Here is a 12,089-nt window from a genome sequence, read left to right on the forward strand (position 1 = left end):
AAATCCGGGAAACAAATAATATACTAAAACTTGCCAAGAAAGCAGAAATACTTTGATAATGATTCTATAGCTACCATTTATTATTTACTGTGTGTTAAGCACTATGCTTAAGCCTTTCTCATATATTATCTAACTTAATCCTCAGAACAGTCCTGAGGTATAAACCTATTGTTATGCCCATTTTACAAGTGAGAAAACTATGGTTCAGAAAAGTGAGGCAAATTGGTCCGTGTTTCACAGGCACATTCAGGTGAGGCCTGAACCCTCATTACTGAGTGAGTGCTGAATGTCAAGGACATGTGCACAGTATTTAGAAAGTATCAGCCGGGTGTCCACCTAATGGTGCCCTGAAGGCAGATCCTGCTATCTGGATTCACATAACAGGCAATGATTATATTTCATTACTGCTTAAGTTAGCCCAGAGTTTGGGATTTCCATTGAAGTAGCAGATTCTTTCACACCCAGTTTCTAAACTCAGAATATCAAGATTTTGATTATTTATGCTGTGTTTTTTTATAGACAGTGAAGGCTACACAAGCCTGTGGCCTATTTATATCTTAAAATTAGGTGTAGCAAAAGAATATGCTTACGATCATTTCTCATCCAGTCACATTTTTGCCAAAATGTAAGTTGTAAGAACAAACACAGCCTGAGTGTATTTCTAAAGAATCCTTTTGTTGCTCTGGCAACAGCCTCCTTTCTCACCATTTGTTTCAGTGTTGAAGAGATCCAGGGCTGAGGGAGAGGGGGCATAGGGAGAGAAAAGGCAGATGCTCCCAGCTGCAGCAAGTCCTTGCTGAGGCTGGGGCTGACCAGAGGCTATCACAGATTGGCCAACGGGAGAAAGCAAGCCAGCCCTTTCAGATGCCAGTATGGCAATGTCCTCAGCCACAGATTCAAGAACCACAGCTGCCCTTTACATTGGCTTGATGTGCATGATGAGACCTCCAATAGGGGAGAAAGTGCCCACTGAATCATGAGAAGGATAGCTCAGTCCCTCTTTTTTATGATTTTTTCTCTGAGGGGTGATGCTAGGCTGGAAGGAGAAAAGAAACCAGTTCTTTCCTGTATTTCAGCACTTAGTCTTAGATCAGTGGCTCCTAGACAGCAGTCAAACTATGCAGGAATCTCTGCCTTGTGCCAATTTAAAATTCTGAGTAATTTCAGAATTTTTGAGATGCTGCATAAGTAACAGGGGTAGGGAGGAAGTTAAAGCTTCCAGACTGGAAAGAGGCAGAAGATCAGCACCAGCCCTCAGCAGTGCTCCCACTTCTTTCTCCTCAACCTTCCTCCAAGAGACCTTGTGCAGAGAGAAAAGTCAGAAAAAACTCACTGGAGGCCAGGATCAGTGGCTCACACCTGTAATCCCAGCACTTTGGGAGGCGGAGGCAGGTGATCACTTGAGGTCAGGAGTTTGAGACCAGCCTGGCCAACATGATGAAATTCTGTCAATACTAAAAATACAAAAATTAGCCAGGCATGGTGGCAGGTGCCTGTCATCCCAGGTACTTGGGAGGCTGAGGCAGGAGAATCGCTTGAAACTGGGAGGTGGAGGTTGCAGTGAGCCAAGTTCCTGCCATTGCATTCCAAGCTGGGCAACAGAATGAGAATCTGTCTTAAAAAAAAAAAAGAAAAGAAAAAGAAAAAGAAAACTCACTGGAGTGTTCAAATAATACCTGAGAGCCATACTAATCTTTGTGCAATAATGAACACCTTGCCATTAATGTGATGCACACCAGAGTACCAAAATATGTTGGACTAATCCACACTCAGACATGGAATTCACTCAACTAACGCCTTATTATAAACTGCATGTAAACAGTCTTGAAGGATACCTATGCTTTGCTTCTGAATGACTGCCAAAGATAGGTTTAGTGTTATGGCCCAAGATGTCCCACCCCTTCCAGTAAATGGCCACTGGTTTGCTCGAAGGTAGTTAGATCACCATCAAGTTCCTCAGGATAAGAAGCACTCCTACATGACAAACCAGGAGTCTCATCTACATACCAGCAAATCAATAAAGCCCATAATAAAGGCATGAAATCATCAAGGATGTGCAAATACAACAGAGCGAGGGAAAACTAAACAGAAATCCTACTCTCTGGTCAACCAGGGCTCTTCAACAGGATTAATAATTAGTGTGTGCTGGCTTCCCTTGAGCTACATGTTTGACTCTTCAAAAGCCTTCAGTAATACTTCCCTGCAAAAGTTTTAAGATATACACATGCATACACACACACACACACACACACACACACACACACATGCCCCTGAGGCACCGTGTGTCCAAGGAGAATAAAGCAGGGATATTTCTCTGACAAGAAAATGATGAATCAATCTTGAAACCCACCTTTAATATTTCTGGGTGGTGAGATGCCAAGCTGAAGGGGAGAGTCATCTTCAGAAGTGAGTCAAAAGGGGACAAGGAGCTTCACAGAATCAAACTCTAAGCCTAAAAAGTCCAAAGGAAGGTCACATTTTCCAATCTCCCTATTTTTCAGAAGGAGAACACTGAGACCCGGGGTGGTACATTTATCTCAAGTGAAACTGCTAATGAGGAGCAATGCTGAAATACAGAATCCTGGTCTCCCAAATTCCATGAGTGCCTGAGTCACTTGTGGTGTGGCTGATCCTGGCAGATGTAGAGATGAGGGACCTGAGACTTGTCCCTTTGGGCCAGAAAGTTTAAAGGGCCTGGTGTCTGGATGGTGTATTCCCCCATGAAAGCAAATCAGAACTAAGGAGCAGGCCCTCTGTCATTTCTCTTGGCCCATTACTCCCCATCCCCCACCTCCACCCTACACAGGGGCCTCCTAAGATCTGAGGAACAGTAAACTTTATCTTATCGGCTGTTTGGGAAAAAACTGTCATTTGATCTGTTTATTTGGAAGCCAGCCCTGCTGAGCTCAAGAGTTTGCTATGAGGCCAGCTAGAGTGAATTCGTTTGGGGGCTGCTGCTTTACAGCCCTGGACATATGGCTCAATGCATAGCTTTATTTTGAAGAATCCTGTGCACACAGCTCTAGAATTTGCTGAGGGATGAATCACCTGTGCCCTTCATTTAGTGTTGTAGGTGGGTAACTTTGTCCTGTTAGAGTCTAGATTAATGTCTTGGTTAAAAAGTAAGCACTTGTTTTCTGAATATCAAAGCAAGAGTCTACTCTACTTCTTTGGGGATGTATTCAAACTCAGCCATGTGTTTTTGTGTGTGAATTTCTGTCACCCAGAACAAGAACCTTGAATCAAACCTAGACAGATTGTTACCCCATTGGTTCAGGACTCACCTTTCAAACCCATGCGGGGAAGCCTACGAAAATACTGGTAGCAGTGGATGCTTTCCTGCAGCTCACAACCTTCTCCCTGGGACCACTGTAAAGAGCTCATGCTTTTACTTTCCACCCATTTCTAATAAGCTCGTTAGTGAGAAATTCCCAGAAAATGGAAGAGTTCGCTTGCATTTTCTGATCTGAATGCACAGAACATTCTGTCAGGCTCTAGGAGACAGACAATTTAAACCAGAACATCACTAAACACAGAGCAGCTGATACTAATTCCTTCCCAGCCCGTGTCTTTCCCACCCAAGCTGAAATCATCTGGGGGCTGGAGCTGAGAGTGGATGCGGAAAGCAGGCTTGCTGCTTCTTAATGAGCGCCCCCGCTTACATTCCTCTTAGCATAAAGTGCTTGCTGCAGGTGGGACTCACGCTCTCCATAATTCCTCAGGGAGTTGCACTGAAGTGGAGAGCATGCTTTTAATTTAATGGGAAAAACAAAAAGCAGGAGTAGTTACTCAAACTAAAACCAACAGCTTAGACCCCGAGGAAATAAGCAATGAGGAGGACCACGTAAGACCAGAGAACAAGCCTGTCTTCCTGTGGGGTAAGACAGGGGAAAGAGACCCATGCGAGCAGCACACAAACGTCGCCTAGAACGGAAGGGGCAAAGGAAACCTGAATAGACAGAAAGTGGTCTTCTCCAAAACTAGCAGGAAGCGAATGCCCAGTACCAGAGTGCGCTGCACCGGCAGCTCTCCATCCCTCCATCCCACCGTGCCCGGGGTCCTGCCTTCTTACCTGCAATTCCTTGCAACAGCCCACAGACATTGAAGATGCTTTTCTTCATGATGCTCTGTACACACATGGTGAAGACGGACACCAAGGCCACCATGCAGAGAATAAAGATTCCCACAGCCAGGAAAATAGCTGTGGCCTGCCAGAAGCCGCTGGCGATCTCGCCGAAGCTCTCGGCGTAGGGCCCGCACAGCGTGTCCCGCTGGAAGTGCTGCACCCCTGGGTTCCGGATGCAGCGGGCGTAGATGCCCAGGGTGGGGTGGTAGGGCTCCGGGGAGCCCCCGCCCGGGCCCGCCGGCTCCACGCCGCCGCGGCTCCTCGCTTTCCCGATCAGCCAGTCTGCACTCATGAAGGCAATGAGCTCGGCAAAAGCCACCACAATACTCAGCAAGGTCCAGAGCATCGAGCGACAGGTGACAATGACATGACACATATTGATGTTCCGGGCGAAGAAAGAGTCAGGAGTCCACGGAGTTAATCAAAACAAGAAAGTCGGTGGGGAAGGAGGCTCGGGCGGCCCGGGAAGGAAGTCGCAGCTGCAGTCATTCACTCCCGCCGCCGGCCGCGTTCATGCTGGGGACAGCGCTCCCGGACCCAGAGCACCGCCTGCGGCCTCACCTAGGGGAGAGGGAGGGCGGTTAGCAGCGCCGCCAGGCCCCGCCCCGCCTTCCCGCCGCGCAGCGACACCGTCCAAGTCCGGCCCGTGCCCGCAGAACCCTGCCAGCAAGCCCCGGGCCTGGCTAGCATGCCAGGCGGTTGTTGCACTGGCTGCGTTTGTTTCAAGTTCTTCCTGACCTCACTGCACTTAGAACTCTATGTGGCAGTTAACCTTATCTCTAGGGAGCACCATGGAAGGAGGCGGCCAGTGCCAGGTCCTGCTCCCAACCCAGGGGGCACTGTCCTGGTTGCTGCTGCACTTTTAGGACAGGGCTCCCGCTCCCTCATCTTTTACTGGAAAAAGTCAAACAGCACAGGGATCCAGAGAGGAGGAGGCAAGACTGGCAATCAACTCTATTAGTGGATGTTTTGTTTTGTTTTTAAGTTTGCAAGACTTTTTGCCTGCTGTTTTGGTACTAGGTGAGCTAAGTTTTGAGAAACTTGGACCAAGCGCTTTTGCTTAACAGTAGAGAGTAGCAACACCCCGCTTTTATTTCCTCGAAATTAAATTACTAGCAGAGACATAAGTGTGTTTGCTTCATAGGTAAATAGGAAAGAATCACATGTAAAAGAATAAACAAAACATTGCTCCCATACCTATACTTTATCCATTTTTCACAGGGTGATTTTTAGACAAAATAATTTACACTAATTAAAACTCAGAGGGGAAAAAAAAAAAACCTTAAGAGTTCATGACTTACTTGGGGAAATTATTTTTAAAAGACATTAATGACCGTTAACTAAGCATCATTACAACTGAGTGGACTTGTTGACAACAGAACCTTGTCTATGAAGAATGCATCCCTTGAATTGTCCCAATTCATCCCATGTGCCTCTGCCTAAGCTTCGATTCACCCCAGGTCGGGAACTCAACATGCCCATTGTTTCTCATTTCACAGAGGCCTCATTCTGTCTCCACGGAGGAATGACTTCATTACCAGAAGACATTGCTCCAGTGGCTCAAGCCTTCTTCAGAGGAGTCTGGACCCTGAAATGGGGGCCAGCAGGGCTGGTTTGCAGCCCCATTTTCTGCCCCATTCCAAGGCCAGGAACAATCACATAGCTCACATCTGGGCACATGGCCCTGCTCTGAATGATTAGATCTCATTAACCGAGGTCAAATCAACTCCATGAGAACTGCAAAGAGCCCCCTGGCATGTTGGGAGTGGGGTGAGGCAGGGAGTTATCGAAGAGGAAGAGAAGCGGAGAAATAAGGAAGCCCAGTGTCAAAGCTTAAAATGCCCGTTTCTACACCCTGCACCAGCTGTCTGCCTGCTGGCTGACTTCCTAGTGAGCATGTGACTCTACCCATCCCTTGAAACATGATGTATTTTAAAATCCTCATATCATGGTAGTTGCTATACAAGATGCTATTTTGGGGACACAGCTAGTGCACTACTAGGAACATATGCACTTAATTGTCAGGGTGTGTGTGCGTGTGTCACAGCGCTGTGCCAAGCACTGGGTAAGGGAAGGGAGTCCATCAGGTATGGGTTCCAAAGCCAGCTCCAGCACTGACCATATGGATGCCTAACTTCTCAGAGCTCCCTCGTCTGAGCCGGTAAGGGTAGCCTACCTCACCAGATTGTTGCAAGGAATGAACAAGAACCTACTGAAGCACCCAGCACAGTGCCTGGCAGAGTAAGTGCTCAACAAATATCAACTCCCTGCCCTCCGAAGCTTTTCCTGTAACATAGATGACACCGTTCAGACAACTATTGATCCAACTGAGGTGCCCAGCAGATTACAGAAACCTGGCCACTGCACACAGAAAACATTAAGCACAGGCTACTTAGAGATGGACGAAGTCATTCATGTCTAAACTTACCTTGCAGCCTTCAAGGGCAGAGTCCTGGTCTTCCTGTTTCCCCACTACCTAACTCAGCTGGTGTTTTTATATTGGATATACCTTCTGGCTGAATGCTAATTTATCTCCACAAGCTGGATAATTTATATCCAACTGGTGGAGATAAATTAGCATTCAGCCAGAAGGTATATCCTACTCCGACTCACTCATTCTCAGCTCCCTCCTCCAGATAGTACCAAACAGAAAGCCTTTTGAGAAAAAAGTTACTAAGGGCTTTAGAGGAGATTGTTTGTAATGAAAATGATCATTCTAAAAGAGAACAAGAAAATGAGCCACAAGGACTCCCAGGAGGCCCTGAGAGCCTGCACGTACCCATCAGGCTCACAAATACTTTGGGCCCACAGGTGGCAAGCCCAGCCTGTTGAGAGCTATAAAGCCTTCCCATTTGATTAGAAAACCATTTTACTGTTATGCACAATCTCTTTCCCATCCCTTTTCTCTGTTAAATGTAATTTTTCTTTTCTTTTTTTTTTTTTTTTAGATGGGGTCTCACTGTGTCACCCAGGCTGGAGTGCAGTGGCATGATCTCGGCTCACTGCAACCTCTCTGCCTCCCCTCTCCTGCCTCAGCATCCAGAGCAGCTGGGATTACAAGCACACACGACCATGCCTGGCTAAATTTTTGTATTTTTAGTAGAGATGGGGTTTCAGCATGTTGGCCAGGCTGGTCTCAAACTCATGACCTCAGGTGATCACCCACCTTGGCCTCCCAAAGTGCTAGGATTATAGGCGTGTGCAACCACCCCTGCCTGAATGTAATTTTTCAATGAGAACATTCATATTTGTCCTCTTGCAGAACTGCAGGGCTCCTACAACCTCTCGGGTGACTTGTATCTTAATGACTACTCGAGTGTCCACTGCCCTGGCCAGCAAGCTCTACTCAGAGTAAGGAATGCAATTAGTTTGCAGCTTCTGAAGAAAAAGGCTGTAAAAGTTCAGGACAGGAGAAGATGGGACATCTGGGCTTAGCAAAATGCCTGAGAACAATTTGAAGGCAGGATTACTTAAGGACCCACATGCTTAAGTAAAAATAATATAGTTCCCTCTCCTTTATGCTAAAACATTTCCTCATTCACTGCACCAAATTCTCACACCCATACAAGATTGGCTGGGATAAGGGCTTCATTCTTCTGTTTTCAATAGGGGGATAAGATGCTCTGTTCTCCCTAGTAAGTTTGCTAACTGCTACTATCAGAGGAACAGTGGTGATACGCAAGGCTGACTAAAATCGAGGCTTCCTGGGGGTGGTGATATGGTTTAGCTGTGTCCGCACCCAAATCTCATCTTGAATTGTAGCTCCCATAATTCTCACGTGTTATGGGAAGGGCCCGGTGGAAGATAATTGAATCATGGGGGCGGATCCCCCATACTGTTCTCATGGTAGTGAATAAGTCTCACAAGATCTGGTGGTTTTATAAGGGGAACCTCTTTCACTTAGTTCTCATTCTCTCTTGTCTGCCACCATGTAAGACATGCCTTTCACCTTCAGCCATGTTTGTGAGGCCTCCCCAGTCATGCAGAACTGTGAGTTCATTAAACCTCTTTTTCTTTATAAATTACCCAGTCTCACGTATGTCTTTATCAGCAGTGTAAAAACGGACTAACAGAGGCTGCAAGCAAAGTTCTCAGGGTGGCAGGACAAGGGACCATCTGGAAGTGCAGCAGGGGGCTTCTGCAGTGGTTTGTGCTCTGTCCCAGTTTGGCTAGGTGCACTGAAAGGCAGGTACCTGCTGAGACATCTGTATCAAAGGGGAAAGAGATCCTCATGACAGAACCTTATTAACCACAGGGATACGAGGCACAGCCCTCTTCGGCCTGGCATCCGTTGCTATTAACCATAATGCCTGCTTCCACAAAGCCCATTTCATAAACTAGGCCCTCGCTGCCATTCTACCTAAAAGACTTCTTCTCTACGGGCCACTAAATACGTTTCCCCTCGACAACACCTGACCTTACTATCACATCCCAGGTGATTGTGGATCATCTAGACAGCCCTCTGATGTTCAGAAAATGATGACTGGCACAACGGTGTGCAAAGTAAAGCCTCTTCACTTAAAAAAAAAAAAAAGACAAATGAGAATCCTGCAGAAACCTACATTAATACCAGAGAATAGGGAGCAAAGAGGAGTTTCAAAATGGCTGGTCTGTGGGAGTCAGTCCTATGTACAGATTCTTCCCAGAGCCCTAATTTGAAAAGGTAGAGTGAAGGTCCTCAGTAGAGCTGAGCCGGGGTTTGTCACTTAGATCCCGGATCTGTCTTTGGCAGCTTCCTGCTGTCAGCAGGGAAGAAAGTGTATGTGAAGCCAGAACCACCCAGTGCCCGCCGGCTGGATCACCCGGACAGAAACTCAGGAGCAAAGTTCACATCTACCTGGAAAGAATGAGGGAAACCTGAAGGATGTCAATCAAGGTTGCATCAAAAAGCTCTCACTCCCCACCCTGATGGGAACAGCACACCCAAAGAATGATGCCAGGACAAACAATGTTTTGAAGAACACTACCTTGCTTACTCACCCTGGTTCTGTTTTTCAACTTTTTTATGAACGTTTTCAAACATAAAGTTGGCAAGAACAGACAATGATCACCCACATACCCAACACCCAGATTCAACATTTGTTAACATTTTCCCGTATTTGTTCCATCAATTTATAGCATACACACTCACACATTTTCTGAACTATCTGAAAATGAGTTGCAGATGTTCTGACACTTCACCCCTAAATACTTTAGCATACACCTCCTAAAAATAAGAACATTTTCCTATATAACCACAACAAGATTAGCACACCCAAGAGAATGGACAATAATCCCCTTATATCCAAAGCCTAGTTCCTACTCAAATTTCCCTACCCCTGCCCTGTTTTTAATAGCTGTTTTCTTAAAACCATGACTCAATCACAGCTCATGCATTGCATTTGATTAGGTTCTTTTAGTCAAGAATAGTCTTCCCACCCAACCTATTCCACCCCATCCCAATTATTTTCCCCGACATTGACTATTTGAAGATACTGGGCTAGTTGTCCTACAAAATACTTGACAATCTGGATTTGTCGATTTCCTCATGATTTCATTTCAACTTGTTCTCTATCCTCTATTTCAGAGAAACTGGAAGTTACATCTAAAGGCTAGACTGGTAGATGCTTGGCCGATCTCTGTTTTCACTCTTGCAATCTCCCTCAGACACATGAATCCCACAAGGGTCAGCAATATGGCCTCCATCCCCGTTTCTTCTGCAAGGATGGGAGGATTAAGAGAATTAGAATGTATGTGCTTTTGCCTTCCAAGAGTTGGAAAGACCCTCCAGAGTGTTGCTTCTTAAAGTGTGGGTTCCTGGACCATCTCCCAGAGGAGAATGACAGCTACCTGTTTTAAAAAGTACATTCCTGGTCCCCAACCAACCACTGAATCAAACTTTTTGGATGGTGCCAGAATCTGCATTTCTAACAAGTTCCTAGGAGAGCCTTTCACAGAAAGGCCACTGTGAGGCAGCGTGGAAAAGGTCAGTTCCTTGGTATTGGGGAGGGGAGGCTGAAGGGCAGAGGCAGGAGGAATGTGGCCTGGCTCAGTCAGGACAGACCCAGCAGCCAGACCACCTGTCCCCTGCACAGCTCATGATGCCTCCCAGGTCACAGGGCCCAGTGACTGTAGGGAAACCAGCTGTTCTCCCAGCTCATCTGTTGTCTGATAATCCTCGTACAGCATGAAACGATCTGCCCAAACATTCAGGTCCTTCTCTTCAGAAGACAAAAGGAGCCTTAAGAACTGGAAGGATAGTGTTGGCACAAAAAGTACAGGACTTTGCATGACTTAAAAAAAAATGTACCAAAGGAGGTTTTGAAACTCTCATTCTGGCCACCCCGTAAAACACATTCACTACAGAAATACAGACATCTTGATTATATTTAAGAGGACCCAAATGCACTAACAATTCTATTATTCTTTAGGGTACGTCTAAACATGCTCAAGACCTCCTGCTTTTGCCAATTTCCTTGGCTCAACTTCTGATCGACTCCTCTTCTCCATCCCATCTCTGACTTCTGGGAAAACTCTGAAGCTATGGTTCCCAATTAGGGGCAATTCTGTCCCCACACCAACTTTGCAGGGGACGTTTGGCAATGTCTGAAGGCATTTGGGGCTGTCACAGCTGTGGGGGTAGGGGTGTGTGCTACTGGTATCTGGTGGACAGGGGCGCTGTCAAACAAAAATTACCTGGCCCCAAATGTCAGTATCGTCAATGTTGAGAAACCCTGCTCTGGGGGCTTCTCACAGAGGGCAATTTTGAATGTATAGGAGCAACTTGAGATGATTTTTAAGATCTATTTTTAAAAGGTCTATTCTGATGCGTATGTCTATAATCTGCGCATTCATGATATTTACTAAATTAAATATATTTTTAGTTGTTTTTCTCCATTTTTAAAAAAGGCCATGCTAGTTTGGATGTCCAAGATGACAGGATGATAGGGACTGGGGCCCCCGAAGCCAGGGCAGACTGACTCAGAACCTTGTGCCCTTGAGCCTGTCTTTCCTGGGGTCCTGGGTGGTCTCTGCATCACACGCTAAAGTTAACTTCTGTTTTCATAAATCTCTATTCTGCGAATGGCAAAATGGGGCTCCCCATTCATTACTGTTACCTTTCTTCACCTACACCTGAGGGGCCTGGACATGGGTTCAGAAAACTGCATGGTTGGCCACACAGGCTTCTGCTTCTCTCAAACTCCTCTCCTCCAGAGTTGGGCTGGTCACTCAGGAGGTACTCAGGTGGCCTTGGCCACCCCAAATCTCAGGGAATCTCAAGGACCCTACAAGGTAGACCTATAAGATTTTCAGGCATTCTGATTCTTACCTGACCCCTCTTAAACATGCTTCTTTTCCCCTTGAAACTGTTGACATTCTCAGCTGCCTCGCAGCCCCTCCCTCCAAACACACCTGAACAAGTCTCTTTTTCTCTGGGCATGGGATCCCCCACTGAGCTCTTTTGACCCCCATGCTCACTGCCAAGTTTGTTGTTTAATACACCCATCCTGGCCAGTCATAGGTTTCTTTCTTGATGCCAACTCCAACTCCTCCTGTATCCAATTAATCTACCTCTGGCCACTCATTTCTAGAGGCCATTTTCACCCTCCCATCCTGAGGCATCTGTATTAGTCTGTTCTCATGCTGCTAATAAAGACATACCCGAAACTGGGTAATTTATAAAGGAAAGAGGTTTAATGGACTCACAGTTCCACATGGCTGGGGAGACCTCACAATCATGGAAGAAGGTGAATGAGGAGCAAAGGTACACCTTACATGGCAGCAGGCAAGGAAGCATGTGCAGGGGAACTGCCCTTTATAAAACCATCAGATCTCGTGAGACTACTGACTATCATGAGAACAGCATGGGAAAAACTCGCCCCCATGATTCAATTACCTCCCATTGGGTCCCTCCCATGACATGTGGGGATTATGGGAGCTACAATTCAAATGAGATTTGGGTGGGGACACAGCCAAACCATAC

At 46.3% G+C, this 12,089-nt stretch overlaps 1 protein-coding gene across 6 annotated transcripts in view, besides 3 other annotated features; it reads right to left on the reverse strand.

Annotated features, from left to right (window-relative positions):
- The window catches only part of LHFPL2 (LHFPL tetraspan subfamily member 2), a 163,543-nt gene that overhangs the window by 20,482 nt on the left and 130,972 nt on the right, over window positions 1–12,089 (reverse strand). For all 6 annotated transcript variants that reach the window (XR_007058567.1, XM_006714515.3, NM_005779.3 and 3 more), the window contains one exon: window positions 4,073–4,687. Coding sequence is in view for 5 of the 6 variants with exons in the window: in XM_006714515.3 (XP_006714578.1) it covers window positions 4,073–4,502 (430 nt within the window). In the remaining variant the exon portion in view is untranslated. The remainder of the gene's footprint in view (window positions 1–4,072; window positions 4,688–12,089) is intronic.
- Window positions 4,271–4,360: a silencer, noted in NCBI's record as "silent region_16121". NCBI's record gives its function as "represses an Ori minimal core promoter by ATAC-STARR-seq in GM12878 lymphoblastoid cells {active_cell/tissue: GM12878}" and the evidence as "EXISTENCE:reporter gene assay evidence [ECO:0000049][PMID:35858748]".
- Window positions 4,407–5,028: an enhancer, noted in NCBI's record as "H3K27ac-H3K4me1 hESC enhancer chr5:77805941-77806562 (GRCh37/hg19 assembly coordinates)". NCBI's record gives its function as "activates a minimal SCP1, AML or CMV promoter by ChIP-STARR-seq in naive H9 embryonic stem cells {active_cell/tissue: H9 hESC(naive)}" and the evidence as "EXISTENCE:reporter gene assay evidence [ECO:0000049][PMID:30033119]".
- Window positions 4,641–4,690: a silencer, noted in NCBI's record as "silent region_16122". NCBI's record gives its function as "represses an Ori minimal core promoter by ATAC-STARR-seq in GM12878 lymphoblastoid cells {active_cell/tissue: GM12878}" and the evidence as "EXISTENCE:reporter gene assay evidence [ECO:0000049][PMID:35858748]".

Source organism: Homo sapiens, chromosome 5 (assembly GCF_000001405.40).
Source record: "Homo sapiens chromosome 5, GRCh38.p14 Primary Assembly".
In the NCBI taxonomy this organism is placed as follows: domain Eukaryota; kingdom Metazoa; phylum Chordata; class Mammalia; order Primates; family Hominidae; genus Homo; species Homo sapiens.